The 18365-nt window shown below is 34.8% G+C and overlaps 1 annotated feature.

Annotated features, from left to right (window-relative positions):
- Positions 14708–15536: an enhancer, noted in NCBI's record as "OCT4-NANOG hESC enhancer chr3:191406426-191407254 (GRCh37/hg19 assembly coordinates)". NCBI's record gives its function as "activates a minimal SCP1, AML or CMV promoter by ChIP-STARR-seq in naive H9 embryonic stem cells {active_cell/tissue: H9 hESC(naive)}" and the evidence as "EXISTENCE:reporter gene assay evidence [ECO:0000049][PMID:30033119]".

An 18365-nucleotide genomic window follows, 5' to 3' on the forward strand; every position in this document is an offset into this window, starting at 1 on the left:
AAACCATTATTTTACTTGTGAAGTATCTAAGATTCAGAGACTTTAAAAAAAATGTAATAGAGTTCCCAGGGTCAGATAGTTACATAAAAGAAAACAACTTAAATCCACATTTCATTTATAGGTCATGTGTATTGATGTAGAAGTTAAATACATTAGCTTTCACTCTTTTTTAGTTAAATGCTCAGTGCAGAGTTTTGACAAGCATATACAGTCATGTAACCACCACCATAATCAATATATAGAATATTTGCATCACTGGAGAGTTCCACTATGCTCTGTTCTCCACCTTGCCCTAGGCAATCTCTGATCTTGTTTTTATGCCTATAGTTTTACCTTCTTCAGAATGCCATACGATTCACACATTACGTATCCCTTTGTGTCTAGGTTCTTTCATTTAGCATAATTCTTTTCTATATTAATGAAGGTGTTGCACGTGTCAGTAATTCAATTCTTTTGCATGAGGAACAGTATTCCATTGTAAGAATGCACCACAATTTATCCATTCATCAGTTGATGAGCTTTGAGTTTTTGCTATTTGTTTTGTTTTGTTTTTGTAGGTTTCAGCTATTATGAATAAAACTGCTATAAACATTTTGTACAGCCCTTTGTATGAACATATGTTTTCATATCTCCTGGGTACATATTAAGAAGCAGATTTGTTGCATCCTAGGATTTAACTTTATAAAAAACTGCCAAACTGTTTTCCAAAGATGTTGCATTCCCACAAGTCACATATGAAAAGTCAAAGTGCTGTGTATCTTTCTCAGCACTTTATACTGTCTTTTCTTTTTCAGTTTACTCTATCAGGTATCTTATTTTAGATTAAATTTAATTTACATTTCCCTGATGACTAATTATATTGAGCATCTCTTCAAATGTGCTTGTCATTCGTATCCATCTTTATTAAAATAGTTGTTCAAATCATAATCCTTTACCTATATATTAGTTTATAATGTTAGCATTGAGTTATAAGGATCCTTTTTGAACTATGTCTTTATTTCTTTACTATATACTTGTCTTGCAAATATTTTCTTCCAATATGTAGCTTCTCCTTACATTTTCTACATATCTCTGTAGGGCATAAGATTATAATTTTGATGAAACCCAATTCATCTATTTTTTCTTCTATGATTCATGATTTTTGTGTCCTAAAAATTTTTGCTTAACCCTGCCACAAGCATTTTCTCCTCTGCTTTCTTCTAGGAATTTTATGATTTTTAACTCTTTATATTTAGGTCAATGACTTATTTCAAAATTTTTTTAATATGGTAAGAGAGACGATTCAACAATATTTTTATCATATTAAATACGCGGTCAAAAATTTCCAGGAATTTTTTTGTTGGAGGGTTATCTTTTTTCCATTGAATTGATTTGTACCTCTGTCAAACACCAATTAAGCACATAGATATGAGTCTATTTTTATACCCTCTATGATATTCCATTGATATATATTAATATTTTCACAGTAAGATCATATTCCCTTGATGACTATAGCATTTACTACAGTTAATTTTGTCATCAGGCAGTGTGAGTTCTCCAACTTGGTTCATCTCTTTCAATATGACTTTTCCTGTTCAAGATCATTACATTTCCCACATAAATTTTAGAGTAAGCTTGTCAATTTCTCCCAAAAATAAAACAGATGAGATTATGATAGGGATTGTTTTGAATCTATAGATCAATTTGAGAAGAATTGACATTTTAACAATAACAGGCCTTCGGACTTTTATTCATGGCGTATCTCTGCACTAATTTATGTCTTTTGAAGTTCCTCAAATTTCTTTAATCGATGCTTTGTAGTTTTCAGCACACAAATATTTCACATATTTTCTTATATTATTTACAGATGTGATGCTATTGTAAGTTATATATACTGTAATTATATATACTATATCTCTATATAATCGAGTTATAAATCATGTAATTTACAGTATATATCTTTATATAATTGCAGTATATACAGTATACAATTATATATAGTATACTACAATTATATATATAATTGTTCTTTCTATAGATTATATATAATTATGTATATAATTGTTCTCTATATATAGTAAATATAATTATCAGTATATATCTACATATAATTACAGTATATATATCATATATACAGTATATATCTATATATAATTTACATATATAGTGATATAAATACTGAAATTATATATCTGTATCTATCTATTATCTGTGTATGTGTGTGTGTATATATATGTATAGATGTATATATATACACATATATATACATACATATATATGTGTGTGTGTATATATATATATACACACACACATATATATTTGGGAGGACAGGATTTCACTCAGTCACTCAAACTAGAGTACAGTGGCACAATCACAGCTCACTGCATCCTTGAACTCTTGGGCTTAAGTGATCCCACTGCCTCAGCCACCTGAGTAGCTAGAACTACATGCATATGCCACCATGCCTTGTTAATTTTTAAATTATTTGTAAAGATGATGTCTCACTGTATTGTCCAGGCTAGTTTCAAACTTCTGGCCTCAAGTGATCTTCCTGCGTCAGCCTCCTGAAGCACCAGGATTACAGTTGTGAGCCACTGTGTCTGGAATAAATTATATTTTTAAATTTAACCTTCAAATTTTTTATTTCCAGTAATTAGCAAAACAACTAGAATTAGTATATTGGCTTTGTATTCTGTTAACTACTAAGATCAGACATTGGATTCAGTAGCTTCTTTTGTAGATTCCTTAGAGTTTTCTACGTAGACATATTATGTGTGAATAGAGATAGTTTTGTTTGTCTTAACCACTTTTTGTTGTTGTTTAGGTGTGTAGGTTTTGTTTTCTTTTGTCTTATTGCACTGTATAGGACTTTAGTGTGATGCCAGATAATAGGAGTGATAAGATGATACTTTATATATTTATGTATTTCATTTTTTTGAGAGAAAGTCTCACTCTGTCACCTACCCAGAGTAGAGTGCAGTGGTGTGATCACAGCTCATGGCAACCTCAACTTTCTGGGCTCAAGCAATCCTCCTGCCTAAGCCTCCCAAGTAGCTGGGACTACACAAGTGTGCCACCACACCTGGCTAATTTTTAAAATTTTTGTTTAGTCAGGTTCTCTATGTTGCCCATGCTAGTCTTGAGCTCCTGAGCTCAAGCTGTCCTCCTGCCTTGGCCTCCCAAAGTTGGGATTACAAGTGTGAGCCACTGTGTCTGGCCCATTTTTTTAAATTTACTTTTTAATAAAGATAGAGATGGGGTATTTCTATGTTGCCCAGGCTGGTGTCAAACTCCTAGGCTCAAAAGTGATCCTCCCACCTCAGCCTCCCAGAGTGTTAGGATATAGGCGTGAGCCTTGTGCCCAGGCCAGATAATGCATTCTTGCATTTTCCCCTATCTCAGGGAGAAAGTATTCAGTCTTTCACCACTAAATATGATGTTAGTTGCAGGTTTTTCATATATACTCTTTGTCATGGAAGATGTTCCCTTCTATTGCCAGCTTACCGAGAGTTTTATTCAGGAATGAATGGTGGATATTAAATACCTCTTTTTCTGCATTCCTTGAGATGATCATATGGCTGTTCTTTTTGGTGTGTTCACATGGTGAATTCCACTGATTTTTTAATGCTATGTTAAACTTTGACTTTTTGGATAACGCTAATTGTTCCTGATGGATCATTCTGTCTTTATATGCCAGCCTTTGACTTACTAATGTCTTATTATGGTTTATATTTCCATATTTATGAGGGATATTGGTCCACAGATTCCTTTTCTTAAATGTCTCTGGCTAGTTTGGGAATCAAGCTAATGCTTGCCTCATAAAATTCACTAAAAAGCTTTCCCAATTATTTAATTTTCAGAAAAATTTTTTGAAGTGTTGGCGCTTTTTTCTGTCAGTGTATATAAATATTTGGATATTTTCCAGATGTCTTTTTATAATTGGTATCTAGTTTAATTATGTTATGGTTAAAAAAAAAGCATTTTGTATTGTTTCCATTATTTTAAATTTGTTGTGGTTTGTTTTTCTGACACAGAATATCATCTATCTTTGTGAGTATTCCATGTGCAATTGTAGATAGGTAGAATGTCCTATAGATGTCTATTAAGTCATATATCTTCATAATGTTTTTCAAGTCATTAATAGTCTTAAAGACTTCCTGTCTACTTTTCCCATCAAGTACTGAGAGAGGAGTATTAAAGATTCCAGTTGTAATTGTGGATTTGTCTATTTCTCATTTCTACCATTTTTAAAAAATGTTCTTTGAAGCTATGCAGTTGGATCAATACAAAAGGATTATAATATCTTCATGATAAATTGACACCCTTGTCAGCCAAACTCTGTCTTACATTTGTGGCAGGACTTAGGCTGGAGAGCTTCCTTTTCTTCCATTGCTAGTGCCAGATTTCTATGTTGTGCTAGTGCATTCTTCTTGTAGCAGGTGATTTTTTGTTCCTCTCTAGAGCGGAGCACTTTTGCTTCAACAAATCCCTTCAGAAGTAGTGGATCTTTGTCTATTTCCTGGATGTAGATTGGAAGAATCCCTATTCTTCAACAGATTTTGTTTTTACCCTTCCACCAGAAGCAGTAGACCTTTGCCTTGGAGAAAGAATATTGAATGCCCCTTCCCCTATATTTTAAGTTTTTTGTTTGTTTGTTTACTTAATATGCAGGTGTTGTTCTGTGCCTGTTCTCCAGCAGCAGCCACTTACCTTCTGCATGCATATGACATGGACAGGCCTTTCTCCAGACTCCTGCACTGCCTTAGATATTTTTTCTGAAAACCCAATGGAGGCTTATAGAAGAAAAGAGCTTTGATTCTGGGACTACTACGCCTAACCTTTATGAGTTCTCTAACATTTAGTGAACTGTTTCTAACATGCTTCTATGCTGGCTACATTTTCCTACCATTACTGCCAAAAGCAAATGTTCTCACTGTCCCTTTTCTTCTCAAGCATCTTTTAACTCTTTGGAATTTACTTCACTTGGTTGACTTGTAACCTAAGCTCTCTGGAGGGTTGAAAAAAATTATACCTTTTTAGATTATTAGCTTTCTTTATTGTTAGCATGGAAGGGACATTCTCTTGCAGTTTTCATTATCCTAAAAGCATAAGCATGACTTGAACCCGTGAGTCTTGTAGGTAGTTTTTGATTTGAAATTTAGTCATCACTGGGAAATATTCTCTATGCCTTTCTGTATCTACTCTGATGAAGTTTAGTAAAATAGAAAGCATGGAAGATATATGTTATAGTACAACATTGTCCTGCATCCTATAAAAAGCAAGCAAACACACACACACACACACACACACAAAACAGAACACACAATTACTACCTGGTCAAATTAGCTTGAGCATTACTCACTTCACCAAACTTCACTGAGTATAGAGGGTTTTGACTCTTCCATTGTGTTACATGTTTAGGCTTTTAAAACTATATTGTCAATCCATAGATAGGGATATTATATCATCATAATTTTTATTATATTAATTCATAGATTTTTTAAAGGATTCCAACATATTCTGGATTTTTGTTTTTGAATTGGTGCTTGTGTGTGTGTGTGTGAGTCAAAGATGTTGCAAGAAACATACTGTAATGGAATATTATTCCAAGGCTCACTAGGACTTGCTTTTATAAGTTTTGCTCCTTGTAAGATTTAAGTCTTCATGCCCGTTTTCCAGCCCACTTCTCATCCACTCACCATAATACAACAAAATTCAAGTACTTTTCAAACAATCATAACCTTATTAGTAACAGGAAGACAGCCTATTTGGAGTAATTCACCCCACTCACCAATTATGTACACTTGACCCAGAGACAGTCAAATAGAAAAGGCTTATGGTTCAGAAAATATCCTTAAGTAGCGTTCTTGTTTCAGTTTCAGAAAATTGCATACAGTTAAATAAACAAATGCTCTTTAAATGCCCAGAATGTTGGAATAGGTCACAGAATCTGAAAAGGTAGGAATTTTTTCTAAGTATAAAGGATATGGCATATCTGGGGCCAGCCAAAATGAGTTCATGGCAGTTTCTCTCCTAACTAGCTCTGTCATCTCCGGCGAACCTTTTCCCCTTTACTTATTTCATTTACTCATGCTCTCATCTGTATAAACTAAAATTCATAATATTCTTTCTTCCCCGCTTACTGTGAGCATTAGTTGACATGCATAAGGAAAGCCTGAATAATGCCCATTACATGATGGCTGTTGTTGAATCTAAATCCCTCTCTCCTCATATATAAAACAGGGGCGGCCGGGTGTGGTGGCTCACGCCTGTAATCCCAGCACTTTGGGAGGCTGAGGTGGGCGGATCACATGAGGTCAGGAGTTCGAGAGCAGCCTGGCCAACATAGTGAAACCCCGTCTCTACTAAAAATACAAATAAATTAGCCAGGCGTGGTGGCGCACATCTGTAATCTCAGCTACCTGGGAGGCTGAGGCAGGAGAATTGCTTGAACCCAGGAGGCGGAGGTTGCAGTGAGCCAAGATCGCGACGCTGTACTCCAGCCTGGGTGACAGAGCAAGACTCCATCTCAAAATAATAATAATAATAATAATAATAATAACAATAATAAAATAAATAAAATAAAATAAAATGGGGGCAAACACCCTATTTATCACAGCACTGTTCCAACTTTGGCTTTACAATAGCCACTTACGTGCATGTCTTACTTCCCAGTGAGACTGAGTATCTCTAAAGCTGACTAGGAAGTCATCTCTCCATCCACAGTAGTTTTAGCACAGTGCTTCCTATGTTACCACATTAAACAAACATTTGCTTTAACATAATTTGAACCACTCTTTGGACTACCTCACATGTGTTTGGGAGTGGCAGATCAGACAGTGAGACTGTCTTTTTGTAAGAAACTCTAAACCACGAGGTAGAAAAGGTCTAGTGATGATGGTTAAGACCTAGTCACTGCTCTGTAACTGGGGTGGGTGGGAGAAAGTGTCAATAAATTAGTCAGAGAACAGGTCAAATGAAACACACAGCAGTTATGTTTTAGGATGCTTCATGTTCTTTACGGAAGAGCTGAAGCAATCTTTTCTTGAGGCTAGGGAATAAATCCAGAACTTTGTAGGAACAGTGCAGGAGTAATCTGGGATGAAGCTTTAATCACACCATGAGGAAAATGTATTTCTTTCTGGTCATTCCCCCGTTCCCTTTAACAAGTTTCCTATGCCCTTCCCTTAAATATTTGTCTCCTCATAATTCTATCTTCCTCTTATCACTTTAAACTTTCAGACTGAGTCATACTCATGTATTGCTATCGTTTCAATTATTTAAAATTCCAAGTCTGTTTGTTCCAGATAAATCTCTCTTGAGGACCTGTCTTCTATATTCAAAACCAGATAAGACAATTTCACACCCAAGAGTTGCAGATACTTTAGGCAACTCAAATTTAATAAGTCACAAAATAACCTAATTACCTCTGTCTCCACCCAAATTCATATCTGTGTAATAGTCTTGGCTTCAGTAAATGACATCACCATCTACCCAGATTTGGAAGCTGGGAATATAGGCATCACCCTACGTTTCCCTATCCTTTATCTCCCACTACCAAGACCACTAAATCTGAATCCTGAATTATGGCTCTCTCTCTTTCTCCTTCCTTGCCCTCCATCTGCCCTCCATTGCCTTTCACTCCAGTTCCTGCTTCCATCTCTCACAGAGACTGCAATAGCCTCTCAGTAAGTTTCTCTATTTCTAGTTCTGCTGCCTTCAATGCCTTGCTCACTCTCTGGATAACTTTTCAAAAGTGCAAAACTGATTGTAATTAGTTTAAAATTTAAAATTCATATATACTCACCATCTTTTAGCAACCTGTAAAATAAAGAAAATTCAAGCTTAAACACTCAGAATATTTTCCTCCTCCATCTTCTACATGTGGAAAAAAAATTATTAATTTTTAATGTCTCAATTTTTTTTAATTCATGAAGACATTTCAACAATAAAAACCAGTAATGCAAAGATGCCCCAAATTTTATTATCATATGAAACTCCTAGGGAAAATAAAATCCTGAAGATTAAAATTCTCTGGAAGATAAGACAAACCAAAATCTAAAATAATTAAAGTTTCAAGATAAAATTATTATTTATCATATTTAATGTATAAAGAAATTTCAGTGCTTTTGAATTCTTTTTTTTTTTCTTTGAGATGGAGTCTCGCTCTGTAGCCCAGGCTGGAGTGCAATTCTCCTGCCTCAGCCTCCTGAGTAGCTGTGATTACAGGCATGTGCCACCATGCCCAACTAATTTTTGTATTTTTAGTAGAGACGGGGTTTCACCATGTTGGCCAGGCTGGTCTTGAACTCCTAACATTGTGATCCACCAGCCTCGGCCTCCCAAAGTGCTGGGATTACAGGTGTGAGCCACTGCTCCTGGCCGCTTTTGAATTCTTTATCGGGCTCCGTCTCATCTAGAAGGGTGCCTGACGCTTAGGCATTACTGATTTTCCTCATGGCAGCAACATGTAGGCTGCCTCTCAGCCTAAACTAGCTTCAGGGTCTCAGAGTCTGTGTCAGTTCAATGCTTATTCCCTGATGTGACTCACTTTTCAGAAGTCCTGAGGGTTAATGGGATGCAAAAGATCAGGGCATTAACCCCACAACTATTCCAGAGAATAAATTCTGCTGCCCCATGACAGATCGATCAGGCAAAATTATGTTCCCAGAACCCATTACCTGAGGAAAGAAAGTAGATAAAGAAATCTTATTTTTAGCTCCATCAGGAGACCAATTGACCAGTGGTCCAGCAAATGCAACCTGAGAACATAAACTCACTTGGGAGAAATTCACCTCATCACCTCCGTGCTGGATTGGGCTAAGCTGTCCTGTATCCATTTGGCCCTGCTCCTGAGAAGAGCTGATTTGGATCTTTCTCCAGATTAAGAAAGAGCAGTAATCACATATAGCAATGTAACAGAAAAGCATGATTCTTGACAAAATAAAACAATTTTGCTTTTGTATGCTTTTTCCACTTAAAACTTCATTGAGTAGGGATAATGTACTTCTATCTCTAGATTAAAAACTCCAGCAAAGTTATGAATTTGTATCTAATTTTAGATACTAAATAATTCTACAATCTCCTTAAACAACAAACATCCGCACTCATTTACAGTCTTCCTCCCTTTTCAGCTTAAGCCACTGCAGATTGTGGGGGAAAATCAGGCAAAGTTGGCGTTTTCTTTCTTAGTGCTCATCTCCTCCCCTACTCACTGGCTGCTGTTAGCTTTTCCCACCAAGGCTGATATAAGGAAAATGCAGAAGGCTGAGTTGCTACTTGAACTTGTGCCAGCTTTGAGTTTTTTGGGCGTGCCAGATGTTCAGAAACAACTTTTCTCTACTGGGGCGTTTTAACAGCTCTTCACAGGTTTTTTGTTGAGCTCTTTTGCTTCTAGTTCCTTGATGCTTTTTTATTCCCACCGGTAGATTGCAGTGGTTCCTTCTGCAACTAGGAACACCTGAGGAAATGATTCCAAACCTTTCTGCTTATGTCTTCTAAACACCCCAGACAACCCCTATGGACAGAACTCTGAATAGTCTGTGATTCTGCATTCTTTGTCCAGCAGCCTCTGGGTGTGCAGATCAATCTTTACCCTATCACACTCTCCCAGCCTGCCACCCAAGTATGTAGTTAGCCTTGCCCTCAAGATTACCTAGAAAGAAGTCATAGCCCGGTTCATACACTGTTTTAGATTTGTCTGACTTAACTCAGGTACAATCATCTGTCTCTACCAACCATTTAGGAACCCAAACACCCTCCCTCTGACAAGTGTCTGGGACTGTCAAATGGCAGGTTGTTCAAAGGTACAAGGTCTTTGTGGAGAAAGCCCATACCCAAGAAGGGCTTTGAGTTCCTTCCACCCTTGGTCTTCTTCACTCAGCCATCCTCTAATTTCCATTTATCCATAAAAGCCACACTCTCTCTTCTTTCTCCTCCTAGGTCCAGGCTTTTCTAGCTCTTGTTAGGAGAAATATATATATACATGCTATAAGCAAGATTTTTCGCTGTTATATAAGCATTTGTATGTGGGGTAAAAATTTGGTTCCTTGAAGCTTTGTTTTTGCTTTGGAGTGACTTGAAGAAGAGAGAGAGCGCATAAGAGTATAAAGGAGAAAGAAAAGAGGGGAATGCACAAAGGAAAAGATGGATTTATGTTTTGAATTACCTTGTTACACTTCTTCTCCTACTAAATTTTTGCATCCTTCCAGAGAAAGTTAATTCCTATCTTGGGGCTTTTTCTCCCCCAAAGTGTAAAAGCTAGGGCACTCTGGATTCCATGCTTTACTAGCATAGTAATTCCTAAGTGTCTCCCAAGCACTGTAGTGAGCCATAAGCCATGGTGCACTTTCTCTTGGTTCCCCCAGATGAATACACAAAACATAATCCTGGATGGTTTAACCTACCTTCTCCATCAGGAATGTTACCCCTTTTACCAGATGGAGTTCTTTTAAAAAGATTTGGGGTTATTCACTTTTCTGACCTTTATTCCACCTCTAACTCATACATTTGTTAACTTCCAAAAACGCGTTTCTTTTTTCCTCTTTTTTAATGAAAAATTACAAACGTATCAAATTGTATTAATTCTAAGCACAGATAGGTATCTTTTCAGCTCTTAATATTTCTGAAGTTGAAATGCATTTACAATTAGTGTTGTGTCATATTTTGTTTTTTGACTCTTTCTTCTTGAGTGATACAAATATACATCAGTATATTAGAATACCAAGTCCATTTTCAATTTTTCCAAATTATACTCAAGATAACTTTTTATATTTGGACTGAACAAATATCAGATAAAGTCTCTTTTAATCTTGTTCACTGTTCCTCTTTTGTTTTTGTCTTTCATTAACTTGTTTTAAAAAAATCCCATCATTTTTCTTCTATGGCCTACATTTAGGATTTTTCTTATTGCCTCTTTATCGTGTATCTTAATAACTTTTTGTCTTCCGTGTTTCCTGTGAATTCAAAGTTAGAGATAAAGGCTTGCTTATGTTCAGGTTTAATATTCTTGGCAAGTTTACTTCAGAGCGGTGCTGTGTACTTCATATTGTGTCACATAAGGGGAAACATAATGCCTGGTTGTACCACTTTTAGAGATGATCAATTTTAGAATTGATTTGTGTCTTTTTACAGTAATCTGTTTTCTTTTTCAATTGATAAAATTGTCTCTCAAGTCTTCCCTAAGATACGAATGAGAAGTGTGTTCATGTTCATCTGTTTCTTTGAGTTCTTTTTCAAATTGTTTGTTCTCCACATGTCATGGTCATTGATCCATATTATGTATGAATAACTTCTTCTGCAGAATAGTATCTCTATATCAAAGAATTCCCCCCTTGAATAAAAACACCAGTTAGGATTTCTACGTAAGTCTGCAGGTCATAGTGATACACAGGCTTCCATTTTAGGTCTGTGCAGGCAGGCTGCAGATAGGCAAAATAAGACTGGAAGAAAAGCACTTCAGAATATTCCCTCTAAGGTAGATGTGTTTTTAAAAGATCTCCCCATATTTTTTGGTGATGTGTGTTGAGTTTTTTTTTGTCTACGTTTTTTATGCCAGGAAGAAGGAAGGCATGATTCTGGCATAAAGAATATAGACTGAAAAACCTCAATGCATGTAACCAAAAATTTAATGGAGTGGAATTTATCTAATCTCCTCTGGAATTAAATAGATAGGAAGTTATTTGGTCTCTCTGAAATTTGTTGAGTTAATAATAATTTTATGTCCTCCTTTCTTAATGAGAACTATTCAAAACACATTTCTTATCTTTGAAAACTAAGTTTCAAATTTTTCCTTTTATAGAAACGTTTAATTACGGTTATTTGTCCTTGTGTATACTTTAGTAGTTTGAGTTAGAGAGGCGTCCAGAAGAATTAATCATCATAATTCTGTATGCATGGTCTCAAAAGATTTATACATAATAGCAAAAAGAAAAGTTTCTGAAGAACATTATGTTCTCTAAGGTCTAGAGTAGGAGAAAATAATAATGAGATTAAGCATAAAAATGCAAAATAGAGCAATCAGGAGCTCTCTTGAAGAACATATGTTTAAAAATTAAACACCATTTTGTTTTAAATATGATTATACATATGTTTTAATATAGTACTGTATGGTTTTTAACATCTTGGAAGGTTTAAATAAATTTCAGTCATATAAATACAACAAGAACTTTGGGTGAGAAGTAGACCACTAAAATATAAAATATGTAGAAAATCAGAGTACTTATTGAAATAATCCAGTATAGGTGTGCCTATAACAGGAGACTCTAAAGAGAAGGTGCTTCCTTTATATACGATGATTCTCGGAGATTGTAGGTTGCTACCTTGATGTATTTTTAAATGTTTTTGGAAAGGCACTACAATCTTACACCTTTTATTAGAATCAGATTATCAAACTAGAATGACGATTATATATTACAATGGGTGAGAGTTTTGCTTTCAGTATGTTCATATTTTAAGAGTTTTATGTTTTCATGACAAAATTTTCCATTATCAGTTTGGAAAGTAGTGGCTAAACAGATATCTTTCCTGTAGCCCTCACAAAACTTTAAGTATGTTTTATATATTATGATTCTTCAAAAATAAAGTATAATATGTGATGAGTTGGGAAGTTATTTGACCACATTCCTCCAGATTTTTCTTCGTCACCTGGCTAGTAATTTTCTATTATCTACTGGATGCTGTGAGTTAAACAATGTAATGACTCTGAATTCTGTCTATGAAAGGCATTGAGTTTTATAAGTTTTATTCCAACAGGCATTTATATTACTGACAGATCATGTTGCTCATGTGAAAACATGACTTTTGACATTATTAGGGTGGATCTCTTTTGTTTTTGTCTTTTGTCCAAGGTCAAATGGTTTTAGTCCTGGAATTTACTATGCTATTTACATAGAAGCACATTGTTGCTCATATCTCTCCTTGGCTATTTTAGGCTTCCAAGTGCTGTTTTCCTTGGGACTTTGACTCACATGTGTGCACTTCAGGAGTTGGCCTAGGATTTGAAGGACATTTTATGCACAGTTCAGTGTTCTCACTTTGTACAGATTTCCATTCCTAGATTTCTGTCCTCAATTTCACAGCCATTCTGAGGTGTTCAGAGCCCTGAACTCTGATCTCTGATCCATCCACCCAATCAGCCAGATGGTTCTCTTTGAGAGCCATCCTCTATGTCCCACACCAACTAGTTACAATTCCCTTTATAAAGATCTTTGTGTTCTACAAATCACACTTGAGTAATAGCTACTAAGCAATGCAATCAATCAATTTAACATAATCTAAAAAATCTATACTTATATAAGTGATGTATCCTCATTAAAATACATTGAAAATTAAGAAAAGAAAAAATGAAAGCATGTATTTACCTGAGCAAGATATCACCAATGTCAATATATATATATTTAATTTCTAGTTTGTTTTTATACCCATAGCACTTTTAAATACATGATTATGATTACATTATTTATAAAATTTTTTCACCTGCCTCTGTAACTTAACTATGAGTAGTTTTTCACATGAGGCAGTCAGGTTTTCTTTTTTTTTCTTTTTCTTTTTCTTTTTTTAACAGTTTTAACAGTTTCATAATATTCCATCCCTGTTGATGAAATTAATTTTTGTAAGTTTTATGTTTTATAAATTCTGCTGGCACACTTCTACTCATAAATCAATTTTTAACTAAGTTCACTATTTCCATAGGCTATGCTGTGAGATGTAAAACTGGTAGGTCAAAGAATATAAACATATTTAGGGCTAATATATACTAAAACAGCAATATATGGAAATACTCTTCCACTATATTTTATTAAATTTGTACATTGTTGTTTCAAAAAACTGCGTTAATGCAGTACATAATTGGAATTGTTATATTTTTGTTTGCTTTACTGTGATCACTTGTGAGTATGCACATCTTCAGGTTTGTTTAATTAAAATAATCTGTGCTAACTTTTAATAATTTAACTATTGAGGTTTTAGTATTAATCTAATCAAATTGTGTGAAGTTTTATAAGACTAATTTGATAACCTCAGTCAGTTATAAATTCAACAAGTAACTTTTCCAGTTTTTAATTGCTGAATCATATGTTTTTGTTGTAAGATGATACACAATGAAAAACTGTCCAAACCACCATCATTTTCTTCTTTCCTCACCAAACCAACTTGCCGCAGATCTCTATTTAGCAGACAAAGTAATAATTTTAAAACAGAAATTATGGCAGGGCGTGGTGGCTCACGCCTGTAATCCCAGCACTTTGGGAGGCCGAGGTGGGTGGATTGCCTGAACTCAGGAGTTTGAGACCAGCCTGGGTAACACAGTGAAACCCCACCTCTACTAAAATATGAAAAATTAGCCAGGTGTGGTGGCGGGCGCCTGTAGTCCCAGCTATTCAGGAGGCTGAGGCAGGAGAATTGCTTGAACCCAGGAGGTGGAGGTTGCAGTGAGCTGAGATCGCGCCACTACACTCCAGCCTGGGCAACAGAGCGAGACTCCAGCTACAAAAAAAAAGATATATTCCAATTAAAACAGAAATTACATCACATCATAACATTGTCTACTCAAAGCTATCCAGTTCTTCCCATTACATGCAGAATAAAATCAAAAGTCTCTTACATAATTTCTAAGGTCCTGTATCATCTCACACTCATCTCCTATAATTCCTTTTCTTACTCTAACCACCCAACCCTCAATGGCCTTCTTACTTTTCTTGGAATCCTCAAGCACACTCAGGGTCCTTGCATTTGATATTCTCTCAGGCTAATGAACATACCCAAATATTCATATAACTCAACCTTTTTCTTTATTCAAATTCTCTGCTTAAATTTCAAAACGTCAGAGAAAATGTGTTGTGGGGGTCTGTCCCGCAGACCCTGACCCAGTGATGGATGAATAGCATACACTGACACAGATATTCTGCTTATCAGTCCAGCTGTGGGTCTGGGCCACTTACAGACACTAAGGAAGGTGCTGTACAGAGTTGCAGTGGCAGCCTCAACCCCCTGGCCCTGCGGGCATTTATTCAGCACACATTAAATGACAAAGGTCTCAAGGAAACGCTACTAGAAGGTAATTACTGTTGCTGACCCCCCAGTAGAGAGCAATCATGGTCAAAGGTTAGTCTTAGGACCAAATGAGTAAACAAGCTATTTAGGTAGACTCCTCTACATTCCTATGTTAATTACCCTTGCTATACCTCAAAGAGGATTAGACTGCCTTCAGTCATAACTCTATCCGGAGGCTTTTGCAAAAACCTTCCAGCCTTCCAAGAAGGTTTGTATTTATTTTACAATTCCTCCCACCATCCTGACCAAATCCCTACAATGTGTCTATCGTGGCACCTTCCCATTGCTTTGTATCCCAACTTTGTTTTTCATCATAGCACTTGTCAGTGCCTCAAGACACACATGCATACACACACGTTTATCTCCCTTATTAGAAGAAAAGCTGGAGGAATGTGGGGTTTTGTTTTGTTTTTGCTTTTAATGCTGTAAGCATTGGACTTAGAATAATATCTATAACAAATGTAACAAAGAATATTGAGAAAATACTTTCAAAGATTTTCCTGCAAACCTGCTGATAATTCTATCATGCAAGTATAGTTACTGGTAACATTTGGGCATTATTTTTAATCTTTAAGGTTTATGATAAACTTTTGAATTTTACAGATAGTGTAAGAATATGAGTTTTGAAATCTTTTATTCAACTTTTTTACTTGACTCTATAAACATTTTAATGTCATTATATAGTCTTGGTAAACATTTTAAAGGACTGAACATTATTTCTCAATTGTAGTCTAATTATCTACAGGGTCACACTAGTTTCATTAAATCTTAGCTGAAATATTTTATTACCTAAGATAAATCATCTCCTCCACATTCACTGGTAAAGTTTTCATTGTCATTTTTAATTATTTTAAAGTAAATTCATCTTTTCTTTTTCTTTAATAATTTACATTTTTGAGAGCCATTAGTTTTTTAAAAAATTGTCATTAACATTAATTTCTTGTATAGTATATATTTATACAAGTCCACTATATTCCTAGAGTTCCATTCTTTTTCTTGAAAAAGTTCATTTCTAGTTTTTCTTGACTGAGTCTTCTAGATATTTTCTAATATTTTTTACTTTTTAAAAATATAATCTCTATTTTTTGAATACTGCATTTTTCAGCTTAGTTTAATTATTTTATTTGATTTATTAAGCTTAAACATTTCTTCTCTATTTTTAAAGAAGAAAAACATTTAGGCTTATAAATTTATCTTTCAAATTCAATTAACTTTATTCTGTTTGTCTTTAATCTTAAGTATTGACTTACAGTATGTTGAAATTCCACCTGGATCCAGCATTTATGTAAGAGAACACTTTTGAAGATCCAAGCAGTTGAAAGTATTTTTAAAATTATTATGTAATATTATTTAATTTAAATTAGCCTAGTACTATTCAATTTAAATTAGAAAATATACTCTGAATAAATTCTCATTTTATTATTTAAAAAATTTTTTCATGGTGCCAAATGTAGTTATTTTAAAAGTGATTCTTTCAGTATATCTCTCTTTGTTCTGATACCAACTTATTGGTTATATCAAAGCTTATTTTGGTTTTATTTTAAATGATTGTCTGTTTCTTTACCATAAAATAAAATTTTATGTCGTTTTGTTTGCTTTTCTCCTTTGAATTTTATATGTTTATATTAATAATCACTGTTACTTGTTTTTCTTTGATATATTTGTTTTTGCTTTCATTTTTAACCTTACATCATGCTGTTTTAAGCCACATAAACAAATTATGTTTTTTGTAGCACAAAATTTAAAAATGACTTTTCATAGAATATGATTCGGTTCCATATAGTTTCTTATTTGCTATGCTTATTTCTTCTTATGCCAGTTTATATATACATATTATATATACTTATATATTGGTAAAGATTTGTTCAGCATACACTTCAACTAATGCTTACCTAATTGTTTAATCAGAAAAAGAAATATGATACCTTTTTATAATATCAGGGAGACGATTTGTTTCACAAACCAATTGACTTTAATTAGTCAAAAATCTAAGATTCTAATTCCTAGAATTAAAAAGAAAAATAAGTCTATATGTATAATATAATTGCTTCACCTATTGTGATGACATTTTCAGCATTTATTTAGACATATCTTTCATGTGCATCACATGACCGCATGTAAAGAGACCACCAAACAGGCTTTGTGTGAACAACAAGGCTGTTTATTTCACCTGGGTGCAGGCGGGCTGAGTCCGAAAAGAGAGTCCATGAAGGGTGATAGGGGTGGGGCTGTTTTATGAGATTTGGGTAGGTAAAGGAAAATTACAGTCAAAGGGGGGTTGTTCTCTGGCGGGCAGGTGTGGGGGTCACAAGGTGCTCAGTAGGGGAGCTTTTGAGCCAGGATGAGCCAGGAGAAGGAATTTCACAAGACAATGTCATCAGTTAAGGCAGGAACAGGCCATTTTCACTTCTTTTGTGGTGGAACGTCATCAGTTAAGGCAGGAACTGGCCATCTGGATGTGTACGTGCAGGTCACAGGGGATATGATGGCTTAGCTTGGACTCAGAGGCCTGATATTATCTCTATTCTTTCACCTGGTTCATTAAACACAAAAGTCTTTCCCTTCTCTTTTTCACACTTTTTTGCTTATTTATTTGAAACCACATCTTACTTATCTGGGTCATATTTGAATATTCTTTCAGGAATAATAAACCTAAGCAATATGTTTTTCTAGACCTTGCATATACAAAAAGTCTTTTAACTCTTTCAGAGCAACAAGTTAGTTGAGTAGATAATTTTGAGTTATGGCCTCTTTCCCTCAATATATTTTATATATAACATTAATAGTCTCTAATATTTAGGTTGTGAATAAGAAGTCTAAGGGCTTTTTAAAAATTTTTATTTTTAAAGTTAATAAGCAGGCTGGGTGCAGTGGCTGAAGCCTGTAATCCCAGATCTTTGGAAGGCTTCATCTCTACAAAAATTTTAAAAATTAGCCAGGTGTGGTGGTGCACACCTGTTATCCTAGCTACTGGGAGGCTGAGTTGGAAGGATTGCTTGAGCCCAGGAATTCCAGGTTACAGTGAGCTGATTGTGCCACTGCATTCCAGACTGGACAACAGGGCAAAACCCTGTCTGGAAAAAAAAAAAAAGCTAATAAACCAAATACTTATAAATATTTATGTCATATATTATTTATGTTTTTCTTATTTTTTAAATTTTATTCTTTTCTTTTGAATTTTGGATTTTTTGAGACTACTATCTAATTACTTGTTTCTCTTGTTTGACAAAATTTTTTCTTACCTGCTGTTTTAACTTATACCAAACTATTCCATTTTATTTTCCGCAGAGTCACTTATCCCATGAATTTGCTCATGACCATAACCATGATCAATA

Source organism: Homo sapiens, chromosome 3, assembly GCF_000001405.40.
Source record: "Homo sapiens chromosome 3, GRCh38.p14 Primary Assembly".
Lineage (NCBI taxonomy): Eukaryota > Metazoa > Chordata > Mammalia > Primates > Hominidae > Homo > Homo sapiens.